The sequence below is a fragment of the Homo sapiens genome, chromosome 2 (assembly GCF_000001405.40).
Source record: "Homo sapiens chromosome 2, GRCh38.p14 Primary Assembly".
Classification (NCBI taxonomy): domain Eukaryota; kingdom Metazoa; phylum Chordata; class Mammalia; order Primates; family Hominidae; genus Homo; species Homo sapiens.
This window is the reverse complement of record NC_000002.12, coordinates 27,755,073-27,771,499: the sequence shown is the minus strand read 5'-3', so window position 1 is coordinate 27,771,499 and position 16,427 is coordinate 27,755,073. Positions and strand designations below refer to the sequence as shown.

The window sequence follows — 16,427 nt, the reverse complement described above, 5'->3', positions numbered from 1 at the left end:
CAAGTGCTTTCAGCGTTAGGTGCTTTCCATATTTGTTTCACGAAATAATCGCAACCACCTGCATTAGACCCACAAGAACAACTGTGTATTGTACTTCGGCCGCTCCAGCGTATCAGCCCCTCGCATATTTTCTTAAAATGTTGCCTCCCCCGACCCAACTCCCTCTCCGCCTGGTTAAGCCTTACTCTCACTCTTCTGAGTCCCTTCGGCATTAAGAACCCCACCTTTCCTTAGTTATCCCAATCTCTAGGAGGGCAGGACCCTTTGCATCTCAAACTTCTGTATCCAAACACCTAGCACAGTTCCTGACATAGAAGCCAAATAACAGATTGAGAGCATTCACATCACGTGCCTAATATCACAGAACTACCAGGTGGCAGAGTAAGAATTTAAACCTAGATTTTATCTGACTCCAAAGACTCATGCCTTTCCCAGTAGACATTGGGACCTACCAGTTTGCAATCATTAATTTTTCATGGCTCTGTAAGGAACCTGGGCTCCTCTAACACCAAGGACCTCGTCAGTAACCTCATTTCGCAACTAATAATCAGGACTTTTGGATTTTTTTCCTAATCCGTGATTTGTATCTACATATGAAGTCTTACAGATGTGAAATAAGATTTAATCGCATGGCTCACGCCTGTAATCCCAGCCCTTTGGGAGGCTGAGGCAGGCAGATCACTTGAGGTCACGAGTTTGAGACCAGCCTGGCCAACGTCGCGGAATCCCGCCTGTACTAAAAATACAAAAATTAGCTGAACCCGGGAGGCGGAGGTTGCAGTGAGCCGAGATAGCGCCACTGCACTCCAGCCTGGGCGACAAAGTGAGACTCCGTCTCAAAAAAAAAAAAAAAAAAAAGTAATAAAACTGTTTTAAAGAAAATTCAGCTCTCTGTGCCATCACAAAGAAGATGAGGAGGAAAAAAATCAGCTCTCCATACAATACAATTCAATTTTTTAAATTAAGACCGTCCTTCTCCTTAGTACCTATAATACTTTTTTTCCTTCTAATCATTCTTGATATTTATCTTCCCATAACCGGACTCCAGCTACTGAGTACCTTCCAGGTGCCGAAATCCTTCCTTACCTTGCATTGGCAAAAAAGAGCTTCAGATGTTCAAGAGGATAAGGTTTCTTATATTTCCTTTAGAGGATTTATAAGAAAACACAAGACTGGAAGCCAAGGAACATGATTTCTAGTCCTTGTTCTGTCCCTTAGAAAGTCACTTTAACTTTAGCCCAGCCAAATAGCAGTTCTTAAACTCCATGCCCCTGCCCCCAACTCTATTCTCCTTACTCTTCTTTATGTTTTCCTACAGCACTTATTGCCATTAATAGTATTACTTGTGTACTTGTTGATTTCCCTATTGTCTTTGGCTACCAGAATGCTGGGCAACAGCAAAACCCTGTCTCTAAAAAAATTTTTTTAATTAAAAAAAAGAACTTCAGCTTATTCCCTCACTGCTGTATCCCTGGTTCCTACAACAATGCCTGCTACATCTATTAAATATCTATTGAATGAATGAATCTGAGGTGAGAGGCACCATACAAATGTCAATATTTATGTTTAAATAGCAAAAAAAAAAAAACTAACTTTAAGTATTGTCAATAGTTTCAGGATCCAGGAGAATGTATAAGCTTGCTTTTGAAAAGAGCCAGGTGCAGTGGGTCACTCCTGCAATCCCAGTATTTTGGGAGGCCGACGAGGGTAGATCACCTGAGGTCAGGAGTTTGAGACCAGCCTGGCCAACATGGCGAAACCCCATCTCTACTAAAAAATAACACAACTGGCCGGGCGCGGTGGCTCACACCTGTAATCCCAGCACTTTGGGAGGCCGAGGCAGGTGAATCACGAGGTCAGGAAATTGAGACCATCCTGGCTAACATGGTGAAACCCCATCTCTACTAAAAATACAAAAAAAAAAAAAAAAAAAAATTAGCCGGGTGTGGTGGCGGGTGCCTGTAGTCCCAGCTACTCGGGAGGCTGAGGCAGGAGAATGGCGTGAACCTGGGAGGTGTAGCCTGCAGTGAGCCAAGATCGCACCACTGCACTCCAGGCTGGGCGACTGAGCAAGACTCCGTCTCAAAAATAACTTAAAAAAAAAAATTAGCCAGATGTGGGCGCCTGTAATTCCAGCTACTCAGGATGCAGAGGCAGGAGAATTGCTTGAACCTGGGAGGCAGAGGTTGCATTGAGCCAAGGTAGCAGCACTGCACCCCAGCGTGGGCAACAGAGGGAGTCTCCATGTCAAGAGAGGAGAGGGGAGAGGGGAGAGGAAGAAAAGAGATAGCATATGAACTATTTCTTGAAATTCTTGAAGGAGTAGGCTGGAGGCAGTGACTCTCTAGCCTCAGGAGTTCATGTTGCATCCACCTGTTATTTATACCTAATATAGCTGGCAGTTGGTAAGTGTTAATTAAAATGTTTATTATAATACAGATGTAATTCATGATTTGGGGCTTTTTTCCTTGAATTTACATAATGAGCCCTCTATGCCTTATTAGAGGAAAGTGCATAACAATTAGAGCATCCTGGCAGCCCAAATGGAAAAAGTGTAGTCCTTAGAGAAGGGGCACCCTCTTTGGGAGGTGGGGTGCTACAGGGAGGAGAAGATCAAGCTGTTTAACCTAGATTCTCAGCCCGGAGAAGCAGATAGAGGAAGAGAACATCTGCTCTGGGTCAGGGCTCCATACACAGCATCTGTATTGGGTTGGTAGACACTGTATTCCCAGCACTTAGTGATGGGATTCAAACCCGAGGATCTAGAAGCTGTACCCCTCCTCCTCTGCTGTGCTGGCAGACCCCTGGCTGCCCATCATCCAGCCCATTGTCACACCTACATCTTGCTTGACTTGTGATTGGGAAGTACAGCCACTGTTCTTGCCTACAGAATCAGTGATCCTGGCTCCCTGACCTGTCCCAGGGGCCTGGGAACATGGGCAGTGGAAGGAGAAAGACGCTACAGGAGAAAGCTGGGGCTTCCTGAAAAGAGCTGGTACCTTTACAAGCTCAGACACCACAGGCAGATGGGACAGCTTCAAAATCAGGCCCTCAGACTCAATGGCTTAGCATTATAGCAAAGACTACCTGAGGGAGCAAGACGAGTGAAGCTGGGGCCACCAACTGGGTTCAACCTGTGTGTAGTGGGTGTCCTCCAGTTGGCATTCAATGGCCTCTATCATCTGGCCTCACCCTCCTAATTCAGTCCCATCTCTCTTCACTGAGGCTGCTGGGTGCCAATCTCTTTAGGGATGAAGCCTTTCCTCACCCTGCATTCCCCATTCCACCCCACATCTTCCCTCCACAGATTCCTCTCAGAGCATCCATTAAGCTTCCCTGCATGCCTTGGATCACAGGTCTGCCTCCTATTATGGGACCTAAGTCCCTCAAGGACCAGGTCTTCTGAATCTCCCCCACTCCCCCAAGCAGGAGCACTAACGGAAGGTTGCTATCCCACTCACGTTTTTGACAAATACAGACCGAACCTTCTCTACTAAGGGACTGTGCCTTGAGTTATTTTCTCTCCCTTCAGTCCCACTTCCTCCCAAGTCAACCTGAGACAGGCAGAGTGGAAGGAACTGGGGGAAGGCACCTAAAAAAAAGGCATCTAAAAAATGCACATTGAGCATCCTCTTGGGGCTAGAGTGTGGGGTGAAGTGAGGGAGGTGAGCTAGAAAGGATGGCTGGGGCTAGGCAATGAAAGAACCAGTGTTCTAGCTGGGAGTCAGGCTTAGTTCTGTGGGCAGCAGGAAGGCTCAAGAGTTAAGTAAGATTTCTGCAGTGGCAGCACCTGAAATCAGCCATTTTCCCACTTAGTTGGGAGAGTGGCAGTGACTTTCCCATCCCACCCAAAGGCCCCCCAAAGGTCCCCTTGAGAACAATAGACACTTTTCTTGATCTGCATGCTCATGCCTATTTATTTAGTTAACACATGTATTTGGTGTTTCCTTAACAATTGGCAAGTTCTTCTTCCTTATGTTTTGTCACTTAGCCTTTTTTGAAGAAGAAAGGAGGAGGGTGTTGTACACCTCTTGAGAATCTGCTGAGAGGTATGGCTTAGCTTTTCCAGAAGAAAATGCACTTATGCCCATCCACAAACAATTTTACCTGCACTTTCTGGGGGGCCTCAACATTGGCTGTACAATGGGATCACCTAGGGAATTTTATAAACTTTTTTTTTGAGACAGAGTTTTACTCTGTCACTCAGGTGGGAGTACAGTGGCGCATCTCAGCTCACTGTAACCTCTGCCTCCTGAGTCCAAGCGATTCTTCTGCCTCAGCCTCCCGAGTAGCTGGGATTACAGGTACATGCCACTATGCCTGGCTAATTTTTTTTTTTTTTTTTTTTTTTGGTAATTTTAGTAGAGATGGGGTTTCACCATGTTGGCCAGGCTGGTCTCAAACTTCTGACCTCAAGTGATCTGCCTGCTTCGGCCTCCCAAAGTGCTGGGATTACAGGCACGCACCACCACACCCAGCTCATTTTTCTATTTTTTAGTAGAAATGGGGGTTTTGCCATGTTGTCCAGGCTAGTCTCAAACTCCTGACCTCAAGCGATCCACCCACCTCAGCCTCCCAAAGTGCTGGGATTATAGGCATGAGCCAGTGCACCCGGCCATAAACTCTTTATGCCTGTTTCTTACCCCCTGAGTTTCTGATTTAATTTATCTGGGTGCAGGCCAGGTGCAGCAGTTCACAACTCTAATCCCAGCACTTTGGGAGGCTGAGGTGGGAGGCTCTCTAGAGGCCAGGTGTTTAAGAGCAGCCTGGGCAACATAGTGAGATCCTGCCTCTATTTTTGTTAAAAAAAAAAAATCAAAATAATTTATGAGTGTAGTCTGGACTTTGGGTTTTCTAAACTCCCCAGGAGATGCTAACGTATGCCAAGATTGTAAAATACTGGGATTCACGGACAGGTTAAACCCCCTGTCAAACACTCTTAAGTTCCAGGTGTGCTCAATTCACTCCACTTGGTGAGCAGCACCTATCTGGATAAGGAGGGGAGAGGACAAAGTGGCCAGTTTGAAAGAATGAGGAAGTCTTGAAGTTGTAAGCCCAGAGAGGAGGTGTTTACATACATTCCAGAAAGCTGTAGAACCCACCAAAAGAAGAGGTTCTGAAATAGAAGACCCAAAGCAGGAAACTTAATTGCCTTCCTGAAAGATGAATGGAAGTCCAGCAGACAACACCCTTCCCACCCACATACCTCACCTGCCCCAAGAGGAGCCGCAAACAGCATCAAAAGGCTGACAGCATCGGTCTTTGGGGGAGAGTCAACCAGTTAAACGTGTGGCTTGATTGGTCAGTGACAGGGGTGGGGAGAGGGTGGCATTTGTGGGAGTCCACCACCTGTGAGGGTGTGCAGTTTTAGAGGTAATGGGCTGAAACTGTCGGCTGGAGGAGGAAAAGGTTTGTGTCTCGGTCAAGGAGAGGCATTCCTGCGGTGGGTGGAAGCGGGGCTGCAAGGCCGCCGTGCAGAGAAGAACTGCGCATGCGCCGGAGGCCGCCGCGGATTGCCAGCCACGCGACACTGAGCAAGCCCCCGCCTCAGTTTCTGATCTGGGACTTGTGTGGTAACTTCGGAGGAGCCCACAATCTCAGATGATGATCGTCTAGATCATTCCTAAGGCTTTTTCCGTTGCGATGTCACAGGAACCTGGGAGGATTTTAGTCCTCCTAAAACTCTGATATTTTCAAACCTGATACCCGTAAGAATCACGTGGGGTGCCCATGGCCAGATAACATGATTCAGTGGGTGGAGAATGGGGGCGGCTAGGGGCACTTTATAACGCTCACCGGTGCTCCTGATGTTCCGTGTGCCTTGAGAGTCATTGTTCTAGATCACTGTTCTCAGCACCTGGGCATCGAGTTGAAGGGCAGACTCTGAGCTAGTGGGTCTGAAGTGAGGCCTGAGATTCTGCACTTCTAACAAGCTCTCTGATGCTGCTAGCTGTACATCCTGACTACTAAACTGTAATCCAGGCCAGGCATGGTGGCTCATGCCTGTAATCCCAGCACTTTGGGAGGTCGAGGCGGGCGGATCACTTGAGGTCAGGAGTTGAAGACCAGCCTGGCCAACATAGTGAAACCCTGTCTCTACTAAAAATACAAAAATTAGCCGGACGTGGTGGCATGCGCCCATACTCCCAGCTACTCGGGAGGCTAAGGCAGGAGAATCGCTTGAACCCAGGAGCCCGAGGCTGCAGTGAGCCAAGATTGCACCACTGCACTCCAGGCCCCGCAACACAGCCAGATTCCATCCCGAAAATAAAATAAAGTGTAATCCAGGCAGCATCGCTAGCAGCAACACTATATTATTTGGGAGCTTGTTAGGAATGTCGAATTTCAGGTCCCACCCCAGACCTACTGAATGAGAATCTGCTTTTTTTTTTTGACAGGGTCTCACTCTGTCACCCAAACTGCAGTGCAGTGGTGCAATCTTGGCTCACTGCAGCCTTGAACCCCTGTGCTCAGGCAATCCTCCTGTCTCAGCCTCCTGAGTGCCTGGGACCACAGGCATTTGCCACCATGCCCAGCTAATTTTTGTATTTTTTGTAGAGATGGGCTCTTGCTATATTGCCCAGGCTGGTCTCCAACTCCTGGGGGCTCAAGCAATCCTCCCACCTTGGCCTCCCAAAGTGATGGAATTACAGGCATGAGTCACTGTCCCCAGCCAGAATCTGCATTTTAACAAGATCCCCAGATGATTTGTATTCACATTAAAGTTTGAGAAACATCATTATGGAAGAAGTGACTTATGATTGGAGAACCAAGACTGAAACTTGGGAATGAGAGAAAAAGATTCAGTTCCTTAAAATAGAGTAGAATTTAAAGAAGGGCAGACATCTTTTTTTTTTTTTTTCTTGAGACGGAGTCTTGCTCTGTCACCAGGCTGAAGTGCAGTGGTGCAATCTCAGCTCACTGCAACCTCCACCTCCCAGGTTCAAGCGATTCCCCTGCCTCAGCCTCCCGAGTAGCTGGGACTAGACACACACCACCACACACACCCAGCTAATTTGTTTTCTCTTTTTCTTTTTGAGACGGATTTTCACTCTTGTTGCCCAGGCTGGAGTGCAATGGCGTGATCTCGGCTCACCACAACCTCCGCCTCCCAGGTTCAAGCAATTCTCCTGTCTCAGCCTCCTGAGTAGCTGAGATTACAGGCATGTGCCACCACACCTGGATAATTTTGTATTTTTAGCAGAGACGGGGTTTCACCATGTTGGTCAGGCTGTTCTCAAACTCCCGACCTCAGGTGATCCGCCCGCCTCAGCCTCCTGAAGTGCTGGGATTACAGGCGTGAGCCCCCGCAGCTGGCAATTTTTTGTATTTTAGTAGAGATGAAATTTCACCATGTTGGTCAAGATGGTCTCAATCTCCTGACCTCATGTTCCACCTGCCTTGGCCTCCCAAAGTGCTGGGATTACGGGCCTGAGCCACTGCTCCCAGCCAGGCAGACATCTTTATCTCTTTTAGTTAGTGCTCTATTTGTAGGCCTAGTACAGTGTCTGATGCTCAATAAATATTTCTCAAATGAATGGACAAGGTGAGAGTCCAGTTTCCGGAGCCAGAGCATAAGGCCAGCCTGGGGCTGGCCACTATCATGACTTGATGCTAGCTACTAGGGCAAAGGTCTTCCTAGCCCCCCTGTCCAAGACAAGATTGGTCCTGATGCTGGCACAGAACAGAACTCATGGCCATGTGAGGCAGCAGTGTGTTAAGTTGTCTCATGTGTGAATATTAAAAGGCTGCAGAGAAATGTAGCCAAGAAGGTACACTGGCCTCTCAGGAAGGTCTTCTAAGGACCAGGGGCTGAGCCAACCAGTGGGGATGCGGGCGGCCAGAGAAGCCCCAGGCCCAGAAATAACTCATGTGGTCTATAAGAGTGATCCCATGAGCTGCTTCAAACACGGTTTATAATGGGTAGAATTTAATTCACCCAGCATCAATTCTAGTACTCCACTCTTCCCTCCATTCAAAATAGATGTCAGTAAGCCCTATCCCAGGGTCAAAGGCAACCAGTGTGTATCTTGTGGGTTCAGTCCAAATTCCATGTGCTATAAGTAGGTTGGGCAAATGTTAGATACTACAAAGAACAAACAGTGTTTGTTATTAACTAGCCTTAGAGAAATTGATTATTATTCCTAAGCCTCAGGGACACCAGTCTAGGAAAGAAAAAAAATCTGTTTGTTTTTCCTATATGAACCATTAGCCAGACTTTCTGAGTAGCCCTGAGAGTAGAAGTTAGAATTTCAGTCAAAATATATCCATTTTCATCATACCCTAAGAACAAATTGGGCTGAAGATTTCTGACATTCTTCACATTGCCAAGCCCTCTTTCCTAATAATTATTTTAAATTCACTGTGAACATGACAGAGTGCTTCTTAAGGCAGTGTTGTTTTTTTCATCAGGCAATTTCATTTGCTTGATTCCCACAGTGAACTGAGTGAATAGTAATTGTGCATTCCCAAGGATTCATCTACTTCTGCCTTGGGCTGGATCCCATGTTTAAGGAAAAATGACCACATTCAGAGCCACACCAGCCATGTCAAAGTTCCCAAGAATTATTATTTCAGAGGAGTAGTAATTTTCCATTACTCTTTCCTCTGCACTGATCCTGATTCTCAACCTCATTTCTTTTTTCTTTTTTCTTTTTTTTTTTTTTTTGAGAGGGAGTCTCACTGTGTCACCCAGGCTGGAGTGCAGTGGCACGATCTCGGCTCACTGCAACCTCCACCTCCCAGATTCAAGCGATTCTCCTGCCTCAGCCTCCTGAGTAGCTAGGACTACAGGCGTGTGCCACCATGCCCGGCTAATTTTTTGTATTTTTAGTAGAGATAGGGTTTCACCATGCTGGCCAGGCTGGTCTCGAATTCCTGGCCTCAAGCAATCCACCCACCTCAGCCTCCCAAAGTGCTGGGATTACAGGCGTGAGTCACTGCCCCCCCGGCACCTCAACTTCATTTCTAACTGTCTCAGAGAGCCTGTCCCAGAGAGGGATCATCCTGCAAGTGCCTCTGCAGCTTCTCCAGGGGCTTTGAAAGATGGTTCCTGCCCAGTGTGCAGTTCCCCCAAAGATGCCAGCTGCATGTGAATAGGGAACAAGAATCTAACATTGTACTCACTGGCTGTTGGATAAGTGATTTAAACTCCTTGTACTCAACATTCCTGCTATAGAGAGCACAAATGTCCTCTAGCACCTCTGTTGGCTTCTGTAAAGGAACAGCTAATTAACTTTCTCAATTGCTTTGGAATGGCACTCAATGGCAATAATAATCATGCACATTCTTAGGTTTTTTGTTTGTTTGTTGTTTGTTTTTGTTTTTGAGACGGAGTTTCACTCTTGTTGCCCAGGCTGGAGTGCAATGATGTGATCTCGGCTCACTGCAACCTCTGCCTCCCGGGTTCAAGAGATTCTCCTGCCTCAGCCTCCCAAGTAGCTGGAATTACAGGCGTCCATCACCACGCCTGGCTAAATTTTTTTATTTTTAGTAGAGACGGGGTTTCACCATGTTGGCTAGGCTGGTCTCAAACCCCTGACCTCAGGTGATCCACCCGCCTCGGCCTCCCAGCGTGCTGGGATTACAAGCATGAGCCACTGCACCTGGCCACATTGTTAGTCTTTTAAGTCCATTTTCAAATGGATCTATGTCTCTTTTTGTTGACCTAGAGAGACAGCGAGTTGTCATGTTCACAAGAATGACCTAACTTGAGCTTCTGTGGTTTGGGATCCTGCCTGCCTGTATTTCACCCTGTTTTGCCTCCAAGGCAGGGGCCAGGTCTCATAGCCAGGAGATTGTGGTTAGTTTCCTGGCCTCCAATCCGAGGTGGGGACACACCTGCACCCTTGAGGGAGGGAGAGCCTGTGGAGGGTCCATGAGGCCAGGGCTGAGTCACTCTGCAGGAGACATGTCAAAAGGCATTAGAACATCAGTTTGGCATTTAAGGAGCAAGAACCCACACAAAAATTCTTCTGTATGTTAACAATCTAGTCCATTTTCAAACTAAATCCAAGAAAGAAATTAAAGTTTGGTGTCCCCTGACACTGGGACTTGTTCTTCATGAGAAATTAGGCCCAAAAGAAACCTCAGCTTTACCCACATGTCCAGTGGAGGTGAAGGCCCCCAATCTGATAAGACTGCACCCCACAGGCCTCTGCTTCCTACCCTTCACAGTCCTGTTCTAAGAACATGAGAATTCAGAAAACCCCACTGTAAGTCATCATCTTAGGGGTTTCTGCCCAAATCCCTTTCCTCTATCAGGAAATTATTTGAAATGTAACTTGAATAAGCCTGAGCCTTCTTCCTCCCTTATGAAGGTTCATCTTGTTTGGTGTCCTATTCAAAAGAAACATAAGTTGAACTCCAAATGCCCTAAAAACAATGTAAGTCTTTACTAAGCGTCTTGGAGAGTGGACTTTCTTACCCAAAGTCCACTCAACAACTGCACCCAGCCCATTATCCATCCAGAAAGTAGCTTTATGCCCTTCCTTATGTAAATTAATTAGCCTGTTAGATTTCTGTCATCATATCATCCTAGTCATTACTTTTTTTTTTTTTTGAGACATAGTCTCGCTCTGTTGCCCAGGATGGAGTGCAGTGGCGCAATCTTGGGCTCACTGCAACCTCCACCTCCCAAGTTCAAACAATTCTCCTGCCTCAGCCTCCCGAGTAGCTGGGATTACAGGTGTGTGCCAGCACATCTGACTCATTTTTGTATTTTTAGTAGAGACAAGGTTTCATCATGTTGGACAGGCTGGTCTGGAAGTCCCGACCTCAAGTGATCCACCCATCTCGGCCTCCCAAAGTTCTGGGATAACAGGCGTAAGCCACCGCACCTGGCCCTAGCCATTACTTTAATTCAGCCACAAGGAACAGGGAGCCAAGAAGTTCAAAATCCTCCCATCAGAAGGCTGGAAAGAGAAGAAAGGCTGTATCTACTCAGGCTTCAGGGTCTGGGTCTTTGTCACAGTTTTGTGAGGGCTTCTATCCCAGAAATGAGAACAGGGAAGTGAAAACAAAAGGATGTCTATAGGTCTATTAGTGCCAAGGGACCATCTCCCTTTTCAAGATGGCAGCCTCCTGAACAATCTGGGTTCCAGCATGGCTGCCCTGATCCCCAGCTGCAGGTGGAAGGTCAGCAGTGCTATCCTCAGGGTGACACCCTCCATAGGGTCCTGGGACAACTTTACCCAAAAAGGAATAATCACACCAAATGCATATATGTGTCTCTTTGTGAAGCAAGAACTTTTGAAGAATTCAGATGGTTTTAACACAATATGGCATGCAGCTAGAAGAGGAAATCTGGGTTCTCATCAAGTATGATATTCATCCCAGTGAGCCATTTGAAATGAAGGAGGCAAAGTCTTTCAAAAGATGTCTTCTATGATTTGGAATAATTGGGTCCAGTTTAATTTGGTGCATGACGAAGTTAAAGAGCTACGTGATTGCTTCAAGTGTGTTTTGCAGTTCCCAGAGCCACTAATTAGCTCTATGACTTAAAGGTTAATGAGATAAAACATCTATAAATCAAGTTGATGGCTGATGCAAGAAGAATGCCCCCAACTCCTGCTCTACCATGCTAACACTATAATCTCATTTTTCAGGCTGTCCATTTGATTCAATTTGATTATGCATGAACATATACAAACAAATGTGTAATTAGAAGATTCATACTTAAATTATAAACCACCTTGCCTAGGCTCCTTTCTGAATGTGGTTATTCAAAACCAATAAGAAAATAAGTCAATCGTTCATTATTAACAGAATTAATCATATCAGAATTAACCGACTAGGTGAAAGGTTTAGGTGTGTGCCTTCCCACAAAGCAAAAATCTATATGTTGCATTCAAAATGTATGTTCCTTAAGACAAATTTTAGAAAATAAAATTATGGGCTGGGCACAGTGGCTCACGCCTGTAATCTCAGCACTTTGGGAGGCTAAGGTGGGCGGATCACTTGAGGTCAGGAGTTTAAGACCAGCCTAGCCAACATGGTGAAACCCCATCTCTACTGAAAATACCAAAACTAGCCGGGCATGGTGGCACATGCCTTTAATCCCAGCTGCTTGAGAGGCTGTGGCAGGAGAATTGCTTGAACCCAGGAGGCAGAGGTTGCAGTGAGCCAAGATGGTACCACTGCACTCCAGCCTAGGCAACAGAGCAAGACTCCATCTCAAAATAAATTAAAAAAAAGAAAAGAAAATTATGGTGGTTTGTTTGTTTTTTGTTTGAGACAAGGTCCCACTTTGCTGTCCAGGCTGGAGTGCAGTGGTGCCATCTTGGCACACTGCAGACCTGAACTCCTGGGCTCAAGCCATCCTCCTATCTCAGCCTCCCAAGGAGCTGGGACTGCAGGCATGTGCCACCACACCCAGCTAATTTTTAAAAAATTTTTTGTAGAGACAGGGCCTAACTATGTTAACCAGACTGGTCTTGAACTCCTGGGCTCAAGTGATCCTCCCAGCTTGGCCTCCCAAAGTGTTAAAATTACAGCCATGAGCCACACGGTGCCTGGCCATAGGTCTTATTTACTGAAATTATGGGGGAATTTGGGGTTTAGAGAACATTCTAGCGAACCTTTTGTATTTTTAAGGATTCTGTCCCCCTAAATTCTCTATTTGTGTATGTGAAGTTTTCAGCTGGTTATGAGCACAGGCTCCAAAGTCAGGGAAACCAGCTCGATACCGTGGCTCTATCACTTACTAGCTCTCTGTCCTTGGAGAAGTTGTTTTTGTTTTGTTTTGTTTTGTTTTGTTTTGTTCTGTTCTGCTTTGTTTTGAGATGCAGTCTCGCTCTGTCACCAGGCTGGAGTACAGCGGCACAATCCTGGCTCACTGCAACCTCTGCCTCTCTGATTCAAGCAATTCCCCTGCCTCAGCCTCCCGAGTAGCTGGGATTATAGGTGCGCGCCACCACACCCGGCTAATTTCTTTATTTTTAGTAGAGATGGGGTTTCCCCATGTTGACCAGGTTGCTCTCCATCTCTTGACCTCATGATCTGCTGGCTTCGGCCTCCCAAACTCCTGGGATTACCACGCCCTGCCTGGACAAGTTATTTAAACCTCTGTGCCTCAGAGAATCACTTGGTCCAGGGAGGCAGAGGTTGCAGTGAGCTGAGATCATGCCACTGCACTCCAGCCTGGGCAATGGAGCAAGACTCTGTCTCAAAAAAAAAAAAAACAAACAAGCAAACAAAAAAAACCTCTGTGCCTCAGTGTCTCTATCTATAAAATTGGGATAATAATAGATTCAGTCTCATAGGGTTCTTGTGAGGATGAAATATGATAATTCATTTAAGTCACCTAGTACAGGGCCTGGCACTTGATAAGTATTCAGTAAATTATGATGATTATGACTGATTTGGGGGTCTAACTATATTTGCACTTTCTTTATAAAGCCTTTTGAGTGAATATACAGTGTCGAAGTATGAATTTAGTATGACAAAGTTCTTTGCAACTTATGATGAAGGTATAGTTGTTCATTATTAAGCTAGTTTGAGTGCAATATTTAGCAATTTTCTTATTGTCAAGGACTTGATACGCCTTGTCTTTTTCCCCCTTATAGAATCTTTTTTTTTTTTTTTTTTTGGCTGGGTCTCACTCTGTTGCCCAGGCTGGAGTGCAGTGGTGCAATGATGGCTCACTGCATGCAGCCTCAATCTCCCTGGGCTCAGATGATCCTCCCACCTCAGCCTCCCAAGTAACCGGGACTACAGGCATGAAACACCACACCCAACTGTTGTTTTTTTTGTTTTTTTTTTTTTTTTGAGAGATAGGGTCTTACTATGTTGCCCAGGCTGGCCTTCAACTCCTAGCCTCAAGTGATCTGCCCACCTCGGCCTCCCAAACTGCTGGGATTACAAGAGTGAACCACTGCACCTGTCCCCGAATTTTTTTTTTTTAACTTAGAAGATTAAAAGAATTGTTGTGTTCTAGGCATCCAAATTCCTGGGAGATGGGAAAGTAGCCTAGAGTCCCATTTCCATTTGATGGATGGAGCCCTGAATAGAAATGGCATTCCCCAGAATAGAATGGCATATTTTGAGGCTTTGGCCCTACGGAGGAAGTTTCCAGATCTTCTGACACTCTCTGATCCTTCTGGCTGGATCCATTTCCTCCTGGAAGAGCACACAGAAAGTATGGTCTGGTGGGAGCACAGGCTCAGAACAACCATCCCACTCCTGGGTGCCCTCACTGCACACATTCCCAGCAGCCAAGGACATTCTCTTTGGCTTCAGGTTAAAGAGCAACACAAGTGGATAGTTGTGGGTAAATTCTAACACAAAGTATCAACCATTGGCTCTGGTGCTCTGAGAAAGAACCCCATTTAAATTATTAGGAGAGAGTCAAGAAGAGGAAGCTGAAACTCTGCAAAGAGCAGGGCCTGCAGCTGCAGCCCAAGTTGGCCCAGCTCTGTTGACCTTGGCTTTGTCTTTGAGGAACACACGCTTGTGTCTGCCTATTTCATCAGCTGTTCCCCGTCTGCCCTTCCCTTTCCCACCCTGGGAAGTGGTGAGGAGGGTTAAGTGACAGCCTGTGAGGCAACCACTCAAGCACAGGGGGAGTCTGAGGGAGGCTGTTTCACTCTTTCCAGCCAGGACCCACCCAACAGGCTCTCCTCAAATCGAAGTCCATGAAAGAAAAGTATTCATCTGCCCCAGGGTCTTCCCCACTGTCCTGACACTACATGGACTCTCTCCTATGTCCTCATGGCTATGTGTGGGGTGATGTGCAGCACCTCTGAACCTGTTTCGGCCAGGGCGGCCCCCAGAATCTCAGAATGTTAGAGTTGGAAGATCTCAGAGGGCATCTAAAGCAACATTCTCATTTTACACATGATAAAACTGAGGCCCAGAGAAGTAAAGTGACCTGCCGAAGGGCCCACAGCTAGACTGCATCAGCATGCTGAGACTACAGCCCGTGTCTCCTCACTCCTGCACAACAGAGAGCTAAAGGACCAGCATGTTCAGATGTGGCCACTCTTTGGGTAGAAGACAGCACCAGAGATGAGTGCTCAGTGTCTGTGAAGTCACAGGGGCTTGGCAATGGGAGGCTTAGGAGACTCTAAGGAGTTGAAATACATTTTGAACATGTGCAGAAGAGTCTTTCGATCCAAGTCTTGGAGGAAAGCAGGCCAATTTCAGGCTGAGATGGGACAGGTGCTGACTGTGGGGAGGGAGAGGGGCCCATGCTGGAGCAGTCCAGGAATCCTAATCCACGCCTGGGTGGTCCCCAGGCTTCCAAGCCCCCTGGGATCCTGGGAAGTTCCAAGACTGCTGAGGCAGGTCAGCAGGTTCCCGGTTGAACTCAATTACCAGGCCCACTTTGGGGTGCTCAGAATGGGTCAAGAAAGCAGCCATCAGCAGAAGGTGTTGACATGGGACTCCAGGGTACTAGGTTGAGACAATGTGTATTGATTTAAAAGGCACAGAAACCGTAACTGCACACAACTTTACACACATATTCTTATCAACATGTTGTTCCACTGATCATCTAAGGGGTGGTCAGCTTCCCTGGTCACTTGCAGCTGAGAAATGCAGCCTCGGTGACCTTCAACTGAGGAGGAGTCGACATTGGCTTCCGGTCTTCCCAGAGCCCTTGTTGTTTGTTTGTTTGTTTGTTTTGAGACGGAGTCTCGCTCTGTCACCCAGGCTGGAGTGCAATGGCGCGATCTCGGCTCACTGCAAGCTCCGCCTCCCGGGTTCACACCATTCTCCTGCCTCAGCCTCCCGAGTAGCTGGGACTACAGGCGCCCGCCACCATGCCCACCTAATTTTTTGTATTTTTAGTAGAGACGGGGTTTCACCGTTTTAGCCAGGATGGTCTCGATCTCATGACCTCATGATCTGCCCGTCTTGGCCTCCCAAAGTGCTGGGATTACAGGTGTGAGCCACTGGGCCTGGCCAAGCCCTTGTTTAAGAACCACCTTCTTTGGCTTTTCACCCCAGGGTTGCTGGGGACACCTGATGTCCTACATTATTAGGCTTTTCCTGGCTTCTGAAACCTTGTGCTGAAAGTCTCTCTGAGAGCGATACAGATTGATTAGACACTCGGATTGTTTGACACGTGTGGTTTTGCCAAAGGCAACACGTTCTTTGACCAACTTCTGAAACTCCCCAGTTCTCCTAGTCTCTCTGGACTTGAGTATCAGCCATGTTCTTATGTTGATGCCAAGCTCCTGGGTGATTAAAATTCTTCTAACCACCTTTCTGATTCAAGGCTGTACTCTGACAACACAATTGCTTTTTGGGGATTTTTGCAAACATCTCAAAAGGGCAAGAAACATTCTTCCTCCCTTTTAGCCCAATGTAGACCGGAGGTTTTTTCAGCCGTCAGCTGAATGCTGGGCCCCACCAGTGCCCAGTAGGTACAGTCCCATCCACTGTGAGGTGGGCTCCAGGGAGGGCCGTTGGGTCCATGTGAAGCC

General features: G+C 46.9%; 2 annotated features.

The window, feature by feature from the left end:
* Nucleotides 20–139: an enhancer, noted in NCBI's record as "active region_15512". NCBI's record gives its function as "activates an Ori minimal core promoter by ATAC-STARR-seq in GM12878 lymphoblastoid cells {active_cell/tissue: GM12878}" and the evidence as "EXISTENCE:reporter gene assay evidence [ECO:0000049][PMID:35858748]".
* Nucleotides 3,552–3,752: a silencer, noted in NCBI's record as "peak3636 fragment used in MPRA reporter construct". NCBI's record gives its function as "represses an SCP1 promoter by STARR-seq MPRAs in K562 erythroleukemia cells {active_cell/tissue: K562}" and the evidence as "EXISTENCE:reporter gene assay evidence [ECO:0000049][PMID:32103011]".